The sequence below is a fragment of the Homo sapiens genome, chromosome 9, assembly GCF_000001405.40.
Source record: "Homo sapiens chromosome 9, GRCh38.p14 Primary Assembly".
NCBI lineage: Eukaryota > Metazoa > Chordata > Mammalia > Primates > Hominidae > Homo > Homo sapiens.
The window spans coordinates 39,125,943-39,146,498 of NC_000009.12; the positions used below are offsets into that span (position 1 = coordinate 39,125,943).

The following is a 20,556-nucleotide window of genomic DNA, read 5'->3' on the forward strand; positions in this document are numbered from 1 at the left end:
AAGGATAGATTTGAACTGAACAGCACCATCAATCAACTGGATCTAACTGAATACTTTAGAATTCAATTAGCGTTGTAGAATATTTTATCTAGACACTGCAGAATACACATTCTTCTCAAATACAAATGCACAATTCATTAAGTTAAACCACATTCTAGGCCACAGAACACTTTACCAAATTTAAAAGAATAGAAATCACAAAAGGCATGTTCTTGAATTAGAATGGAATTAAACTAATAATAGCAGAAAGAGAGCTGAAATATCCTCAAATACCAAAAAATTTAAAAACACATTTCTAAATAATAAAACATGGTGAAAGAGAAAGTCTCGAGAGAAACAAAATTTTTTAACTAAGCCAGTAATTAATAACCTTCCCAAACAGAAGGTACCAAGCCCAGATGATTCACTGGTGAGTTCTATCAACACTGGAGAAATAAATGATACCAATTTTCCACAATCTGTTGCAGAAAATAGAAGCAGAGTGACTATTTCTTAACTCATTCCATGGGCCAGCATTACCCTAATACCCAAACCAGCAAAACCTTACAAAAAAGTAAACTGCAAACAAATATCTCTCTTGAACATGGATGAAGCAATCCTTAAAAAATATTAGCAAATTGAACCAAACAATTTTTAAAAATGAACACCACAACCAAGTGGGATTTACTCTAGATATGCCTTTAACATTTGAAAATTAATTAATATAGTCCATCAGATCAACAAGCTAAAGAATAAAAATCATATGCTTCCAGTACTTTCTGCTCAATTTCTATGTAAACTTAAAATTGCTAAAAAATATAAAGCCTATTAATATAAGAAAACTGATGGAGCAGAATGGAAAAATAAACAGATCCACAATTATAGTACAGATTTCAAAATGTCTCTCTTAGCAACTGACAGAACTACTGGACAAGAAGTCAGCAAGGATATACAAGATCTGAACAACATAATCAAACAACAGGATCTCACTGAAATACATACAGAATACTCCACTTAAGAATAGCAGAATATACATTTTTTTTTCAAATGCCGATGAAACATTTACAAGACAGACCATATCCCGGCGAGCCAAACAAACCTCAACATATTTAAAAGAACTAAAATCATACAAAGTATATTCTCTAAGCATAATGGAATCAAACTGGAAATCAATACCAGAAAGAGAAAAAGAAAATCTCTAAACACTTAGAAATTTTTAAAAATACACTTCTAAATAAGCTACAGGTCAAAGAATATGCTTCAAAGAAATTTATTAAAATACTTAAATGAAAATGAAACTACATGAAAAACTAAGTGAAAATGAGAATACAACATATCAAAATATGTGAAATGTAGGTAAAACTGTGTTGATAGGGAAAACGTAGCACTAAATGCCTACATTAGGAAAGAAGAAAGCCCTAAAGCCAATAATGTAAGTTCTTACCTCTAGAAACTAGAAAACAAAATTAACTCATACAAGCTGAAGGAAGGAGATAACAAAGAGAAGAGCAGATTTCAATAGAATTTGAAACAAAAATAATAGAGAAAATCATGAATCGAAAATCTAGTTCTAAAAAACAGTAAGATTGAAAAACTTCTATCAAGACTGACAGAGACAAAAACAGATGAGACAAACTATGAATATGAGAAATTTAAGTGGATATCACTACAGATGCTGGAGACATCAAACAAATAATAAGAAAATACTATAAATAATTCTACACAAATCAACTTGACAATTCAGATTAATGGACAAATTTCTCAAAAAGTACAAACTACCACAATTCACCTAACATTAAATAGGTAATTTAAGTAATTGTAACTATTAAGAAAATTGAATTCATAATTTAAAATTACTGAAAAAAAAATCTCTTGGCCCAGATGGTTTTACTGGAGAATTCTTTTTGTTTTGTTTTGTTTTTGGTTTTTATTTTTGAGATGAAATCTCGTTCTGTTGCCCAGGCTGGAGTGCAGTGGTGTGATCTTGGCTCACTGCAACCTCTGCCTCCCAAGTTCAAGCGATTCTCCTGCCTCAGCCTCCTGAGTAGCTGGGATTATAGGTGTGCGCCACCACGCCCAACTAATTTTTGTATTTTTAGTGGAGACGGGGTTTCACCATGTTGGCCAGGCAGGTCTCGAACTCCTGACCTCAAATGATCCATCTGCCTCAGCCTCCCACAGTGCTGGGATCACAGGCGTGAGCCACCCTGCCGGGCCTTACTGGAGAATTCTACCAAATGTTTAAATAAAAATTAAAGTCAATTTTACATAATCTCTTCCAGAAAACAGGAGACTAGAGAATGTTACCAAATTCATTTTATGTAGGCAGTATTGTCCTGATACTGAAACCAGATAAAGACAATATGAAAAAAGAAAACTACATATCAATATCTCTTATGAATTTGAATGCAAAAATATTCAATAAAATATTAATAAATGAAACACATTAGAAATGTATTTTTTAAATTATACATTATGGCAAAATGGGAGTTGCTCTAGTTATGCAAAGCTGATTCAACATATCAACAGACAAAAGAAGAAATATAATATTTTAATACCAATTGACACAGAAAAGACATTTGACAAAAATCCAATGTCCTTTCAAAATAAAAACTGTCAGCCAACCAGGAATAAAAGGGAACTACCTCCACATAACATAGGAAACAAGAATGAATGCTTTTCCCCTAAGACAGGAAACAAGGCAAGGATGTCTGCCCTCACCACTCTAGTTCAACCTAGGATTGAAAGTCTAGCTACTGCAATAAAGCAAGAAAAATAAATTAACTCCCTACAGATTGACGAGGCAGAAATAAAGCTGACTCTACTTGCAGATGACATGATTTTCCATATAGAAAATCCCAAGGAAACTAAAAAAAAATTAAGTTCAAAAAAGAGCTTATAAGATTAGTATGAAACAATCATATTTCATATTCTAACAAGAAACATGTAAACAAAAATGTAAAGCACAACAGCACTTATAATCAATCAAGAAACTAACTAAATGCCTAAGCATACTTATAAAACATATAATCTCTGGATGCTAAGAATTACAAAATGCTGAGGCAAGAAATCAAAGATCCAAATAAATGGAAAGATATCTCATGTTCATGGATTGGAAGACTCAAAACAGTGAAACACCAATTTTCCCTTCATTGAGCTATTATGTTTAATGTCATTCCCATAAAAATTCTAGCAAGATGTTTGTAGACATAAACAAATTTATTACAAAATTTATACAGAATGAGGCAAGCTACAGACTTACTTAAACAATCTTGAAAAAGAAGAATAAAGCAGGAGGAATAACTCAACCCTGCTATACAGCTACCATGTTCAAGACAGTGTGATATTGGTGGAGGCATATAAATTAATGAAACAGATAAAGAATGCAGAAACAGACCCACCACACAAGTAAGTTCAACCAATTTTTAACAATATTTAAAATGCAATTCAATGCAGGAAGGATAGCCTTTTCAACAAATGGTTCTGGAGCAACTGAACATTCATAGTCAGAGAGAGTGAGAGAGAATCAACTCTCACATCTTATATAAAATGTGTCCCAAAATAGGGCATGGAATTAAAAGTAAAAGGTAAAACTAGAAAACTTTTAGGAAAAAAATTCAAAAATCTTTGGAATTGGAATTTAGGGTTAGGTAAAGAATTTTTAGAATTGACACGATGTGTACAACCCATAAAAGGAAAATATGATAAACTGAATCTCATCAAAATTAAAACTTTTGCTCTAAAAAATTCCAGTTAAGAGTCGATGAATAGGCAAGCAACAGAGTGGGAAAAAATATTTGCAAATCACATATCCAGCAAAGGGCTAGTATCTAGAATGTATAAAGAACTGAAAATTCAACAGTAACAAAACAAATCCAAACAATCCAATTAGAAAATGAACAACAACAAAAACACATTCACAGACATCTATCTCACTGAAAACGATATACAGATGGCAAATAAGCATATAAAACATGCTCAATATTATTAGACATCAGGGAGACACAAATTAAAACCACAATAAAGATATTACTACACAGTTATCAGAATAGCTTAAATAAAAAATAGTCACAACACCAAATGCTGATGAGCATGTGGAGGAAATGAAATCATACACTGTTGGTGGGAATGGTACAACCATTCTAGAAAACAATTTGGCAGCTTTTTATAAAACTAAGTATGCAATTACCATATATGACCCACCAATTGCACTTTGGGGCATTAATTCCAGAGAAATGAAAACTGATGTTCACACAAAACCTGTACACAATGTTCATAAAAGCTTTATTCATAATTGCCCCAAACTGTAAACAAACAACCCAGATGCCCTTCAATGAGTGAATAAACTCTGGTATATCCATGCCACCGATTGCTAATCAGCAATGAAAAGGAACAAATTACTGATATACACAATTATGCAAATGAATCTAGAGAGGATTACACAGAGTGAAAAAAACTCAACCACAAAGAGTACATACTATATAATTTCATTTACATAACATTCTTGAAATTTAAAAAAACCCATAGAAATGGAGAACATACTAGTGGTTATTAACGAGCAATAGGAGGAATTCTTTTTTTTTTTTTTTTTTTTTTGAGATGGAACGGAGTCTTGCTCTGTCGCCCAGGCTGGAGTGCAGTGGCGCCATCTCGGCTCACTGCAAGCTCCACCTCCTGGGTTCACGCCATTCTCCTGCCTCAGCCTCCCAAGTAGCTGGGACTACAGGCACCTGCCACCAAGCCTGGCTACTTTTTTGTATTTTTAGTAGAGACGGTGTTTCATCATGTTAGCCAGGATGGTCTGATTTCCTGACCTCGTGATCCGCCCGCCTCGGCCTCCCGAAGTGTTGGGATTACAGGCATGAGCCACCGTGCCCGGCCAATAGGAGGAATTCTTGTGCTGATGGAAATACTGTGTATCTTGACTGTATGGATGTCAAGATTCCGGCTGTGATATTGCACTATACTTCTACAAGATGTCACCTTGGGGTGGGGGAACTGCTTAACGGCTACTCGGGTTCTCTCTGTTACTTCTCACAAGTGTATGTAAATCTACAATTATCTCAAATTTTTTTTTAAATTATCTTTTCAAAAGAGGAGAAATAGGGAAATTCTCACTGATGGGAGTAGAATATTCCATTTCTTGTGTTATTTTAGCCCCTAGCCCAGTAGTTTCCAAAAGATCACCTGGGGATTTTTTTTTTAAACAATTCCAAAGCCAAGGCTACACTTCATTCAACAGCAATGAACTAACAAATAATTAAGTTTTGTAATGCCAACTTTAAAAAACTGGAGAACTGGGAAGGAGAGTTTCTTACTTACTGAACTTATGTAAGCTATCTCATTTATAAAAGAAACCCCATGAGATCAATACTACAGGGTCCATTTCATCAAAGAGGAAACAAAGTCTGAGAAAGATTAAGGAATGGCCTAAATTTCCACAGCTGCTAAGTGACAGACTTACCACTTGAACTTCAAACTTTGAATGCAACCAGACCTTTGCTCTTTCTACTAGACCAAATTGGCTGGCAGGCATCCAGGGGAGAGAGGGATCACCCTGGGAAGGGACCCAGATGCCGACTGCACAGGTCTAGCACAGTGGGTAAGATTTAAGAGTGTGAGGGCCGGGCGCGGTGGCTCACGCCTGTAATCCCAACACTTTGGGAGGCTGAGGCGGGCGGATCACCTGAGGTCAGGAGTTCAAGAACAGCCTGACCAACACGGTGAAACCCCGTCTCTACTAAAAATACAAAAATTAGCCGGGCATGGCGGCACCCGCCTGTATTCTCAGCTATTCGGGAGGCTGAGGCAGGAGAATCGCTTGAATCCGGGAGGGGAGGGGGTTGCAGTGAGCAAAGATCGTGCCACTGCACTCCAGCCTGGGTGACAGAGAGGCCAATCCAGGCAGAGGAAATGGTCTGGCATATTCCAGGGGCTGATTGGCCAGACAGATTAGGGAAGGCAATGCAGGTATGGGTTAGCGGATCAGCGCAAACCACCTTCAGATGACAGTCATACACCACTTTCCAACTTAAAGATTTTGTATTGAAAATTAAAGAGTGAAATTTAATTTAAGTGGCTTTATTATGCTACCGACATATACTGTTTTTGTTTTTTTAAGACAAGGTGTTGCTCTGCTGCCCAAGCTGGAGGCAGTGAAGCAATCACAGCTCACTGCAGCCTGGACTTCCTGGGCTCCAGTGATCCTCCCGCCTATATACTATTTGGGATTGCTAAAACTAAAAAAAGAAAGGCAAATTTCAGTATTTAACTATAATTAGCAATAAAGTGCTTTCAAGAAACTATATGGAAACTGTTGGAGAGCAGCAGTGAGTCCTGCAGGGGACTTGTGGGGATTCCGGAAAGGAGGGGGAAGTTGGTCTTTAACTTAGGAGAAGATGGTTTTGATGCAGGCAGAGTTTCCAAAACATTACTTCCATATATGAAGATTAAGGTATACATTTCTCAAGATATAATTTCAAAAAAATGAGACACCCACTGACAAAAGGTTTTAATAACCCTAGTCATTATTTCATCCTAGACCACAGTGAAAGTGGCGGGGCTGAGGAAGGGCATATTCAGTTAATCTAAAGGGAGGAAACAAACGTTCCAGGTAGATTTAGAGGAAGACTTTGACCAGAGTAAGGTGGTTACCGGTTCCCACTGGTCTTCATGAAGAATTGTTAGACCCAGCCTGCCCTACAGCCATTATCTCCTCAGTGTGAACGGAAAGCTAAGGCATAAGTTATCAGCAAAATTTCCCTTGATTAAGAAAGGACAAGTCACTAGTCCTGCATATGAACGCGCTGAACGTCTCTCAACGGTCAGGAAGGCGCTCTTGAATGCTCTTTGGTCCAACCAAGAGCGGGAAGAGAAGGAGAGAGTGGTCAGGGCTTTGAACTAAGAGCCACGGGAGGGACCCTGGCCTTTTCTCCCTCAAACGCATCTCGCAGCCCGAGGGCCGCGCCCCGGCCCCGTGAACCCCTGTAGCCTCCAGGAGTGGCGCTTACCTCGTGAGTCCGGGCGCCGCGCCGTCCCGCAGCGCAGAGCCAGCCGCTGCTCGCAGCGCTCCGCCAGGTTCACCGCGGACCGCAGCTGCCCCGCGCCCGCTGCGTACGCGAAGGACACAGCCGAGCGCGGGTGCCCGCTGGGGGCACCTCGGAGGGTCACCGCGTCGGGGCCACCGTGCTGCACCACCGTCCACGCGGCGTCTGCTGAGCAGAAACGGGCAAAGGAGAGGCATCACTGGACGGCAGAGGCCAGCAGCAAGAGGCAAAGCAGACCTGTCTTTTATGTGAATTAACGTTTAATTGAAATTTACATTACTGCATGTTTGCCGCGATTTGAGGAGTTGGACCTGTGTAACAATGTACTGAGCCAGAACTCAGCCTCTAAGAGAAAGCATATTGGAAGAACTGATGACCAAACTTTTGTGACGTCACGCCTAAAAGTGTATCATGTAAGCAATGACTTTTTAGTTGTTAAAACCATTTTTTTATATCAACACAAGCATGGGGCCAAACTGTTACTACCTGGACCTTTATCTTTTTAAACTCATCTGCATTTTCCTCATCTGTATGTGCCTCTATTTCTTTCATTATCGAATAAATTTATAAAAGATACATATTGGGACGATGTGACGCACATACTCACAGGTATGATAGGAAGCAGCTCTATTAAAATAAAGTGGTTTAATTATGTCAGCTTATCCATCAGTGACCAAGCCCAGAGGAATCAGAGGCCTTGAGCTTCTAACAGCACTTTCCAGGCGGTGACCCTGAGCATCTGACTGCCTGCTGACATCATTTCTGATGTATCTCTGTCACTTGATTACTTATATTGTTTTGATGAAATAAAAACAAAATGACTCCACAATCTCAAAAGGGAAGAAGTGCATCTTGAGTTCTTTAGTGTTCCCAAAAATGGACCTCCCACCAGACTTGAAGTCACTTTAATTCTACTATGCTGGTGCTGTCTGGTCCTTTAACCTCTAATAAGATGTATTTAGAATAATGGACATTTTACATAAAAATTTTCCGAACTGGAGAAATGAAGAAACATTCGTATGGGGATTTTTTAAGAACTACGAAACAAAACAATGTGATACATTTTACCTTGAGAAATCACCCTGCCAGCCCTTCACATCTCAGGATTTCTAATGGCTTGGCTGCTAACTGTGCGTAAGACAAATTTCACAGCCTTACTGTTACTTACACACGCCTAACAACAGAGATCAGAGGAAAGAAGGAAAAGAAAACCAGCCATGCTACTGAAATATCTCTTTAGTCACAGAACCCATGGAGAGGAAAGGTGTGATATCCACAAATGAGCCACAAGTACAGAAAAAAATCTGCAAATTTAAATAATGAATGCAATTTTAAATTAAATTATCACTCCACTCACTGTACTCACCAAAGGAGGCTCTAAGTGTGCCTATGGTAATTTCAATTCCATGGGTTCTTCCTTTAATATTGCTCTATTTTTTTTATTTTAGATTTTTTATTTAATTTATTTATTTTTGAGATAAGAGTCTCGCTCTGTTGCCCAGGCTGGAGTGCAGTGGCGCTATCTCAGCTCACTGCAGCCTCTGCCTCCTGGGTTCAAGCAGTTCTCCTGTCTCAGCCTCCCAAGTAGCTGGGACTACAGGCACACACCACCACACCTGGCTAATTTTTGTATTTTTTTAGTAGAGACGGGGGTTTCACCATGTTGGCCAGGCTGGTCTTGAACTCCCAACCTCAGGTGATCCACCCACCTTGGCCTCCCAAAGTGCTGGGATTACAGGTGTGAGCCACCACGCCTGGCCTCATTTTAGAATTTTTACAACCTGGTGTTACTCTGTGCACATCACCTACTCTCACCTTCAGAGTTTTCCTATCAACTGAATCAAATATAGAAAAACCTATGGAACACTAAGTTGGGCATTGAAGATGATCAACCACATGCCATTTTTGGCCATGTGTTCATGATTTGTTGTACAATGGGAGAGAAATGATGGTCCAGAGTAGTTCACATAGGCCGGTGGGCAGTATGATAGATTTGCAGTCACCCATGGTTAAGATGTGATCACAGAAATGCCCTCAGTACTGAGAAGGGAACTGTTCAGAATACATCTGTAAAACTTGTTTTTCTGAAGAGTAGAATAGTAACCAGGGACATTATAGGCTATGCATTTGTGTTTATAAAATTCCACTTGACTCACTTCTCCTTATAATATCAGTAGTAAAACACCCAAAGAAGGACATAGACCATTGTGGTTTCCTTAATTGCTCATAATTTATTTCAATTGATTATAAGCATATTGGAACTGGAAAGGATCTTAAAGAGCATCTAATATAACCCTTATATTTTTCTTTTTCTTTTTTATTAGAGATAGGGTCTCCCTCTGTTGCCCAGCTTGGAGTGCAGTGGCACCTTCATAGTTTACTGCAGCCTCGACCTCCTGGGCTCAAGTGAATTGGACCTGAGTAGATTAATTATAACAGTGGCTAAATGTGGAAAGGGGATCAGAGGTGTGGCTGAGTCTGAACACACTGGAGGCTGTCTCACTAGCCCAGAAGGAGGGTAACTGTAACACGTTGATCCCTGTTCCACTCCTGTTGCTCAAATAAATATCCGACTTTGAAAATTAAGCTAATTTAACTTCATGATTTTGATTGGAATTAACAGTACAGATGTTCCTCAATTTATGATGAAGTTGCATCCAGATGAACTTATTATAAATTAAAAATGCACTTTAATACATGTGACCTACTGAACCTAGCTCAACCCAGCCTAACTTAAATGTGCTCAGAACACTTAAATCAGCCTACAGTTGGGCAAAATCATCTAACACAATGCCTATTTTATAATAAAGTGTTGAATATCTCATGTCATTTATTAACTACTGTACTGAGAGTAAAAAAGAAAATAATAATAATGGTTGTGGCCAGGCATGGTGGCTCACGCCTGTAATCCCAGCACTTTGGGAGGCCGAGGCAGGCAGATTACGAGGTCAGGAGATCGAGACCATCCTGGCTAACATGGTAAAACCCTATCTCTACTAAAAATACAAAAAATTAGCCGGGCGTGGTGGCACGTGCCTGTAGTCCCAGCTACCGGGGAGGCCGAGGCAGAAGAATCGCTTGAACCTGGGAGGTGGAGGTTGCAGTGAGCCGAGATCGTGCCACTGTACTCCAGCCTGGGTGACAGAGCAAGCCTCTGTCTCAAAATAATAATAATAATAATAATAATAATAATAATAAAAATAATAGTTGTATGGGTACTTGAAATAGGGATGCATATGGTTTCACATAGTGAAGTCGCAATATTGTAAGTAGAACCATTGTAAACGGGGATTGTCTGCACTTAAAATTTACTTAGTATATCATATGAAATCCCCAGCATCTGGTATACCCATTCCTATATGTCCCAGAAGAAGAAAGAAAATAAGATCCACTGTTCTGTTGTCAGGAGCATACATATTAAGGTTATCTCTTTTAGAGAACTGACCCTTTCATTTGTCTGAGAAAATCTTTATTTCTTCACTTTTCAAGGAGAAGGTTTTGTTTTGTTTTGTTTTCTCTCTTTCACACTTTAAGTATCTCACTCCATTCTTGCTGGCATGATTTCTGAAGAGAAGTCGCTGTAATACTTATCTCCTATGTAGGTAAGGTGCTTTCTTCCTCTGATTATTTTTAAGAATTTACTTTTACCTGGCCTGGGCACGGTGGCTCATGCCTGTAATCCCAGCACTTTGGGAGGCTGAGGTGGGTGGATCACCTTAGTTCGGGAGTTCAAGACCAGCTTTACCAACATGGAGAAACCCTGTCTGTACTAAAAATACAAAAATTAGCCAGGCATGGTGTCACATGCCCATAATCCCAGCTACTCAGGAGGCTGAGGCAGGAGAATCACCTGAACCCAGTAGGCGGAGTTGTGGTGAGCCAAGATCGTACCATTGCACTCCAGCCTGGGCAATGAGAGTAAAACTCCATCTCAAAAAAAGGAGTTTACTTTTATCTTTGAATTCTATAGTTTGAAAATATAAGCCTGGTAGAGTTTTGGGGGCATTTCTCCTTCTTTGGTGTTCTCTAAACTTCCTGGATTTGTGGTTTGGTGTCTGATACTAATTTGTGGGAATTCTCAGTCATTATTTCTTCAAATATGCTTCTGTTCCTTTCTTTCTTTCTTCTCCTAGAATTCTCTTTACACGTATGTTACACCTTTTGTAGTTGTGCCACTGTACTCAGATATTATGTTCTGGGTTTTCTTTTTGCGGGGGGTTGGGTTCAGTCTTTTTTTCTCTTTGCTTTTCAGTTTTGCAAGTTTCTATTGAGGTATCTCTAAGCTTAGGGATTCTTTCCAAAGCTGTGCCTGGTCTACTAATAAGCCCATCAAAGGCATTCTTCATTTCTGTTATGCTGTTTTTGATCTCTAGCACTCCTTTTTGCTTCTTAGAATTTCCATCTTGCTGTTTACATTGTTCATCTGGTCTTGCATGCTATCTATTTTATCCATTACAGCTTTTTCCATATTAATTATAGTTGTTTAAAGTCCTGGTCTGATAATTCCAATGTCCCTGCCATATCTGACTCTGGTTTTTGTTTGTTTTGTTTTTTGGTTTTTTTGAGACAAAGTCTTGCTCTGTCACCCAGGCTGGAGTTCAGTGGCATGATCTCAGCTCACTGCATGCTCCGCCTCCCGGATTCATGCCATTCTTCTGCCTCAGCCTCCCGAGTAGCTGGGACTACAGGCACCCGCCACTATGCCCAGCTAATTTTTTTTGTATTTTTAGTAGAGACAGGGTTTCACCGTGTTAGCCAGGATGGTCTCGATCTCCTGACCTCGTGATCCACCTGCCTCAGCCTCCCACAGTGCTGGGATTACAGGCGTGAGCCACCGTCTGTTTTTAATGCTTGCTCTGTCTCTTCAAAGTGTGTTTTTTGCCTTGAAATTTTTTCTTTTTCTTTTTTTGGAGACAAGGTCTTTCTCTGTTGCCCAGGCTAGAGTGCAGTGGTGTGACCATGGCTCACTGCAGTCTCCAACTCCCAGGCTCAAGCGATCCTCCCACCTCAGCCTCCCAAGTAGCTGGGACTACAGATACATGTCACCATGCTGTTTTTTGTTGTTGTTGTTGTCACAATGCTGTTTTTTGTTGTTGTTGTTGTTGTAGAGGTGGGGGTCTCACTGTGTTGCCCAGACTGGTCTTAAAACTGGTCTCAGGCTATCTTCCCTCCTCAGCTTCTCAAAAAGTAATAGGATTATAGGTCCAGCTGAAATTTTTTCTTGATAACCAGATGTGATGTACCAGGTAAAAGTAACTGTAACTGCTGTAAAGAGGCCTGCAGTACTATAAGTAACATGTGTGGGAAGGGGAAAGGTTCTATAGCCCTGTGATTAGGTCTGAGTCCTTTAGGGAGCCTTAGCCTCTGGGCTGTGACCTTCACAAGAGCTTCTCAGCCCTCCCTCCCATCACCACCCTTACTTGGGGACAGGATGGCCAGAGGTGGGTAATTTCCTTCCTCCAGGCAGGTTAGGCTCTGAAAACAAAAAACAAAACAAAACAAAACAAAACAAGAAAACAAAACACCAGTAGCTTAGGTGAAATATTTGCCCTTGAGGAAAGACCTTGTTAAGAAGAACAGAAAGCTCTGGTGTACTTCAAGATGGTTCCTTTTCACCTTCCCTTTCTGGAAGCATGAGGAGATTTTTCTCCAACATTCACTGTGAGAACCTGGTCAAGCTAGGTGTCAAACTCACAGAAGTGTGGGGACCCTTCTCTGTCTGGGTCTTCCTGGAGTTTTTAACTCTCAGATGTGTCCACATCGAACATCCAACAATTCGTCAATTAAGTTTAGGTTTTCCTACCTTGACAACGGTTTCCCCAAAGGTTAGTGCTTGTGGAAGAAAATTGTCATTCTGTATATAAGCCTGCCTGTCTCTCCAATTTTGAGGGGCAGTGGTTTGTTCTGTGACCTCACTTCTCTGCTGGATCTAAAAAAATTGGTTGATTTTTCAGTTTGCCTGGCTTTTTACTTGTTCTTAAGACAGAGTGCTGACTTCCAAGCTCTGAAGCAACTGCTTTTTGAAGGTTATTACCATATATACATTTCAAGCTATTAGAGTAGTTTGAAATTGCACATTTTATAATCATTATTGCTTGATTTGTACAACTAGAGAATTTATTACTGGCTATAGCGCAATGGGGCATCTAAAGAGAAGGTGACATTTTCTAGGGCAGAAAAGAGACCAGAGTTTAGTGATTCCCCTATCATTAGCTAGATTTTGTCAGTAGATACTTCCCTAACCAACTTTTCTGAGCCTTGGTTTCCTCATCTTAAAATGATGACAACCAAGGTCCTTCCTGGTTGTGACTTTGGTTGAGTCTTTTGATATCCACCAAGACCATTTTTATGGGATTTCTCACTTTGCTTTCATTGTTTGAGTCAGGGGATTTTGGAGGTAATTGGTATCTTATGGCAGAACGCCTGTGTTTCTTTATCTTCAGCACATTGCTGTGCAGGTGGCTCTGAATCTTCTGAACGTCCCCTGTAAAGTTTTACTACTTTTTGGCAATCTTTGCTAAGGCACTTTAAATGCCCATGTAATTTCAGTTATTTGTTTCTTTTTCCTTGATGCTTGCTGACCCATTTGGTTATTGTCCAAATTTATGAAACTTTTGAAACCTTTTGTCAGCACAATAAATGAGAACAGTTTATTCCAGATTTCCACTTTGCAGAGAGTTGGAAGAGCTAGGTGACAACAAATTTCTGTAAAAATGTAACTATTTAAAAGGCATTCTAGTGCAATCTTCTATAATCAAGCTGTGTTCATTTCTTTTTTTCCTTTTTTTTTTTTTTTGAGATGCAGTCTTGCTCTGTCGTCAGGCTGGAGTGCAATGGCGCAACCTTGGCTCACTGCAACCTCTGCCTCCCTGGTTCAAGGGATTCTCCTGCCTCAGCCTCCCAAGTAGCTGGGACTACAGGCGCGGGTGCCACCATGCCCAGCTAATTTTTGTATTTTTAGTAGAGATGGGGTTTCACCACGTTGGCCAGGATGGTCTCAATCTCTGGATCTCGTGATCTGCCCGCCTTGGCCTCCCAAAGTGCTGAGATTACAGGCGTGAGCCACCATGCCCAGCCCAAGCAGTGTTCATTTCTAATATCTAAAGCACGAGAAATAATCAAGTTTCTTTGGTTATGAAAAAATTATATGCCATAAAAATCACTAAATTATTTAAGATGCACATAGAACATTAACATATCTATGTTATTTCTTAGCACTTTTAAAGACCTCTGTTTTTTCTAAATACAGAAAGCATGTAAATTACCGAATCAGAGGTTTGTATTTTTCATGATGCACATGAACAGATGTATTACGAAGAGTGTAGGAGCTAGAGAGATGCCTTGGCAGAGCACTGAATCTTTCCTATAATCCAACCCAGGCAAACAAGAAATACAAGAAAATTTTGTTGACAACAAAATTAATAAATATATATTTAATGCTTCTACTTAGCAAGTACACACTATCAAACTGCATGTTTTAATAATGCTGCCAACTAGGTAAATTTCTCCTTGGTCTATTCTGATATATGCATATAACGATTATCAACATACCTGTCATATTGCAGTACACAAGAAATGGTCCCAGGGGGCCACTTCCATCTGCATCAATATAGTAAAGCCCAGACGGGTTCCCTCGGTGCTTGTGGGCTTCACAAGACTGCTCGTAGAGAGCTGTAGGAGAACACCAGCCATAAGAACCAGAAAAAATATCTCCAGATGTTGAGTCAGTGTCCAAAGGTTTGCATTTCTGAATTACAGACATGTGATACATATGACCCAACATCATTTTGATAGTGTATGACAGTATATTTGATGAGATGCAAAAAAATGACATTTAAAAAATTAAATCTATTTTTATTAACAAAGGAGAAAAAAATTACCTAGTCAAAATACATTCAAATGTTGGATGTTGTTAGATGCTGAATAAATATTTGGTCACAGTGTATTTCTATTTTGAGGAAGAAGGAAAGATTGTGTTGGTGTTCAAACATGAAGATGTGCTTACAGTGGGAATGCGATACTATCTTCAATAGACAATCTTTTGGCAATGTCTAGAGACTGTAGTTTCTCTACATAAATGTTTTCTTTTGCTTTTAGGCAAGAAAGCATGCAAACTCTGAAGCACAGTGTAAAACACTTGAAGAGATATGAGAGGAAAACTTTGTGAATCTGAATTCTGCGTGCTATTGAAACATGGTTCTTTTCAAACTCATGGCAACTATACCTCAGAATTAAACTCTATAATTAAGGAAGAAACCCTCATTCACCCTGTAATAACTGAATACCTGAGCACATTAAACTGCCTAAATAATCTGGTATTTTCCCATAAGCATTCTGTAAAGTTTTTCTTAAGCTATGCGGCAGTTATACCCTTTGCTTCCTTTAAAACAATATGAATGAGCATTTTAAAGAGATAAATAGAATTTATAAGCTATCAACATCTCATCATTAAAAAATAATTAAAGCTGATTTAAAAAAGAAACTTCCCTAAGTATTTTGCAAGTGACAATTCAAGACAGCTGAAATTCAAAACAGGAGAGAAACTTTTTTGAAAGATATCCCTATATAATGTAAATTTACTCTAGCATAATTGAATATTTTCATTTGTGCAAGCAAATGTTTTACCAAGTACAAGGTATGGAATTAATATCTGCAGGAGATGGACATTGCTAATCTTTATTTTTTTGCCACTTATGGCATATTGATTTAAATAGATACATATATTTGTATATGTCTGGTAGGATTCACTCAAATTAATAACAATACTTAAATATAGGGCACAGACTAGGTTTGGAATGGAGACAAATATTGAGGAAAGTGACTAGAATTTGTGCTTTATGTGAATTTTTTGGCTTTTTAAATGATAATGTACACATGTATTAATGTATAGTATATATCAATTGAATACAATTAATGAGTTATATACAATTAATAATTATATACAATTAATTAGTTGCACATAATTGATACATGTTATACAATTAGAAATACAAAATAACCTATTCAACTAGGTGTGGCAGTCTAGTCTCACAGTGAATGACTGTGGACTTGGCAAATTTCTACCTATAGCCGTCAACTATTAGATGAGACTGACACTTGAAATACTTTTTCAATCTCCTGATATTTTCCCTCAGAAGTTTTTGGAGTTATATTTTGATTGCAGTGAATAACCATGGACTAATATAACTCATTGATTAATTGCAACATTAAATGCAATCAGATGATGCTGAGTGTGGTGGTGGATATAAATTTGCCAGGTAACACACAAGATTAGGCTTCTGCTTTTAGGTAAGATACTATGCCTGGAGGATGAAAGATACACAGAAGTAAAAGATGTACTCCCTGCACCAACTCTATGACCTTATCAAGACATTCAACCTCTGGTGTGAGAGGCCACTCAACTCCTAGAAAATGTGTCACAGCGGCTGGGCATGGTGGCTCATGCCTGTAATCCCAGCACTTTGGAAGTCCAAGGCAGGTGGATCACAAGGTCAGGAGATCGAGACCATCCCGGCTAACATGGCAAAACCCCGTCTCTACTAAAAATACAAAAAATTAGCCAGGTGTGGTGGTGGGCTCCTGTAGTCCCAGCTACTCGGGAGGCTGAGGCAGGAGAATGGCGTGAACCCGGGAGGCAGAACTTGCAGTGAGCTGAGATCATGCCACTGGGCTCCAGCCTGGGCGACAGAGCAAGACTCCGTCTCAAAAAAAAAAAAAAAAGAAAATGTGTCACGGCTTTATAAACAGGGACCCTTCTAGTACAAAAATCATACTTCATGCTTCAATCTGTGAGAGTCACTCCTGGACTGTCTCCTCTTTTGCCCAGATCCTTTACAGAACCTCAGGACTGGGAGCGCAGAATTCTCATTCCATGTATGAACTGTGGTTTTAACACTCCACAGCCTGCCTTTCTCCTGTGGCTTTTGTGAAAATCAAATGTCTCACGGAAGAGTTCTTAAAAGTTTCAATTAGGAACTCAGGATGAGCAAGTGGAACTGAGGACTTTGCATCTCTGTTTCCTTGAAGACCCAGGGATGGGCGAAATATTCCTGAGGAGAAGTTGCTCAGAAACGTCAGTAGAGATATACAGAAAGAAAACTTTAAAAGTTAAAAACAAATAGGAAAAAAAAGGCTTTTCAGATTCTGTGATGTTCTAATTATAACAGGTTAGAGGTCAATAAAATGGCATGGCCTTTGAAATTCAGAGGGTGATTCTTCAGTAAAGACAGATGATTTTTAATATGGCAGAGGCAGTTGAGAAGTGTTAGAATATGCCATCCCTTAGACATTGTTCTTACACTTAAATGTCTACCAGAAGCATGAGGAAGGTTGGTTACAAGAGACTCGGGGCCCCATCTCCAGCGATTCTGATTTAGTAAGTTTGGGTAAGGCCTGAGAGTCTTTACTTGCAACAGGCTCCCAGGGGCTGTGGGTGCTGCTGGTGCATGGACCACCAATCAGGCATCCTGGAGCCAAGGCTGTGGAGCCAACCTCCTTAGCTCAACTCCTCATCTTCCCACAAACTAGCTGGGGGCCAAGTTACTTAACCTCTTTCTGTCCTCAACTCTGCAATGAAGATAATAAGAGTACTTTCTTCCTGGAGCTTCTTTAGGGTTAAATGAGTTAATATATGCAAAGCAATAGCAGAGGGCTGACATAAGTACTCAATACATTAATACTTTTACACTTATTCACTTTACAATCATCATCACCACCACCAAAGAAAATCACAGTCATTGTAAGAGATCTTAAAGGTCCTCTAGTTTCTAGCTGATATCCCATTACCTCTTCAAAAATCTTACCATGTACAATCCCATGATTGCATCATCCCAGTGATTGTTAAAAAATCTTTAAATACCTTAAATGTAGCATTGACAGCCTGGCAAGGGGTTGTTTTTCCACCTTTCTTTGACTGAGAAGATTCTCAGAATTAAAAGTATGGTCCAACTCAAGTAATGGAACAAGCTGTTACATCATGCATTTTTAATTTAATTTAGTTTCTACCTTTTACTATATCTGATTCTCCTAGACTTATTTCCCCATTGCTTGCCAGTTTCTTTTTTTCAATCCTATGCGTACCACGTATTTCTGTGCACTGTCTCAACACCTTGTATTAAATAAGGTGGATTAAAAGTAAACTAGAAATTGAGTGCTGAAATATCTCTTCTGATGTGTTTGCATGATTGCAAATATGCAGATACATATAAACAACTAATCAAAATGAAATGACAAAGAGATGCTGACAGAAACGAGAGGGAGGCGTGAGGCTTACAGGAATGGCAGGTCTCGCCCGTATAGCCTGTGCCTAGACAGTCACAGGAGAAGGTGTCCCACGACTGGGAACACTCGCCCCCATGCTCACAGTAGCTGGGCAAGCACCTAAAAGAAAACAGATACAACTGCTGTTTCCCTTTTTCAATCATCAAAAAATAAGTGTCTTACCAAAAACAGGTTAACCAAAAACAGGTTAATGTGAAAGAGCAGCATATGCAAGATAACCCCACATGACGTGATTACTGGGTCTGCCATCAAGGTTCTCTAATTATATTGACAAACTTTAGATAAATATATCCATTAGCATGCAGCTGATTATTAGGTTTCTGAGACAGCTGAATTTTCAACACATTTCTTTTTTTCTTTGTCCCAAGTGACACAATAACTTGACATGTGGCTAGCAAAACCAATTACATACATAAAACTATGAAATATGGCATGCTCCGTTACTATATTGTGGTCATTTTTAAAAGAAAGAAGGGGAAACAGGGAGGAAGATACAGAGGGGAGAAGAAAGAAACAGGAACAGCTTCAGTCACATAGTGACAGAGGTTCAGAAATTTTGAAGAACATTTAATTTAGGTCATCTTGTCACCTTTTAGATTTGCAATAAGCAGTCGGTTATTGCTTTTTAAGCAATCTTAACACTGGTAATATGTCAATATGACCCAAAGCAATCCACAAATTCAATACAATTCTTATTAAAATCCCAATGCCTTTTTTTGCAGAAAACAAAAATCCATCCTAAAATTCATAGGGAACCTCAAGGGACCCTGAACTAGCCAAAACAATCTTGAAAAAGAACAGTTGGAGGTCTCACACTTTCAGAATTCTTGGAATCTGCTGCCGCCCACTATAATATTGGGGGCCTAGCATGCCTGCCTCTCAGGATTGTTAGGGGAACAGGGAGCAGGGTACACTATGGAAACTGACCAGCACCTGACACAGAGTGTCACCAAGAGGTAGTGTGACCTTCTGGAGGCCTGGCCTGAATACCATGACCCACCTCTGCCTTGAGCAGGGTTGGATCTCAGCCTCTGGCCGCTGTCTCCCACTGCTGAGTACACAGCTAAGGACCTGGTAAAGAGTGAAGATTCTAAAGGACACTGACCTTCCAGGCCGTGAGGGACATCATAGTCCATGCTGGAGCGGCAGAGGCGGGGAGCACCCAAGTGCCCCTCACCATGGGACCCAGAGAAGTAACAGAAGAGGGGCCGGGAGGTTGTGACAGGCCTCCTGGCTGTGGTGGAAGGACGACCAGCAGAGAACTGGGGTATGAAGTTGACAGAAAGCCCCAGGGGCCTGTATTTGGCCTCGGGAGAGGTCCTTTGAGGGGAACCTGAGGGGCTGGGAAGAATCCGCAGCATTCCCTACCCTCCCCATGCCCCCAGCCCCCTATCCTGGCTCTCCAGCACTGCACCACCAGCTCAGGGCCAAGACTTCCATAATTACATGGTGTTAATGAGCATTTAGTCTGCATTCAGAGAAGAGTTAGGGGCCATGAGAATCACAACTTTTCAAGTATTTCAAAGGCCAAGGCATGGAAAAGCCTGTGTGAACTGATCAGAAGAGGGGCAGTTGGAGTGACAGGCAAGGTTGGCTGGGGTGGGGGCCCACCCTCATACCATTTTTAAAAGAGCAGCTGTTCCTCTTCCCCCACATCCTTCTCCCTCTCCTCCCCTTCCTTCTTAATATAATGGAGCATCTTAAGATCATACCTGACTTGAAGATTCCACAAATTTTAAAAAACATTAAAAACCACTGCTGTTTGATATCAACAGGGAGAGAATAACTTTAGTTCAAAATATTTGGAAATAAGAACTATTTAAGTGATCTAGAGACTACCAACAAGTATACACTATTTTTCTTCAACTAAACACAACATGAATTGTGAAAAATTTACACGTAGTACAAATAATAGAGGAAGTAGCTAGCATGCAGAAGACCAACAGAGGGGAAGATGGCAGAGGGAGGGCAGGAGTGGGGTCAGCAGCCTGGTCAGCACAGCCAGGTGAGGAGGTGACGGAGGCCTCCCTGCTCAGGGAGCCCCAGTTGGAATGCAGCACAGGACTCCATTGGAAGCTCTGCCATGTGGTATACAGGGCAAACCTTAAAAGAGTACAGCAGTCTGATGTAAGAGGTGATTAAGAAGTTAAAACCTATCCTGGCCGGGTGTGGTGGCTCACGCCTGTAATCCCAGCACTTTGGGAAGCTGACGCGGGTGGATGACGAGGTCAGGAGATCGAGACCATCCTGG

At 39.9% G+C, this 20,556-nt stretch overlaps 1 protein-coding gene across 2 annotated transcripts in view; it reads right to left on the reverse strand.

The window, feature by feature from the left end:
* CNTNAP3 (contactin associated protein family member 3) overlaps nucleotides 1-20,556 on the reverse strand; it is a 223,458-nt gene that overhangs the window by 61,233 nt on the left and 141,669 nt on the right. Inside the window, exons 11-13 of one of the 2 annotated variants that reach the window (NM_001393379.1) lie at nucleotides 18,298-18,404; nucleotides 14,577-14,696; nucleotides 6,990-7,190 (exon numbers count right to left, since the gene is read on the reverse strand). In NM_001393379.1, the coding sequence (NP_001380308.1) occupies nucleotides 6,990-7,190; nucleotides 14,577-14,696; nucleotides 18,298-18,404 (428 nt within the window). Of the gene's footprint in view, nucleotides 1-6,989; nucleotides 7,194-14,576; nucleotides 14,697-18,297; nucleotides 18,405-20,556 lie in introns of both variants that reach the window. The other variant, NM_033655.5, reaches the window with a different exon arrangement.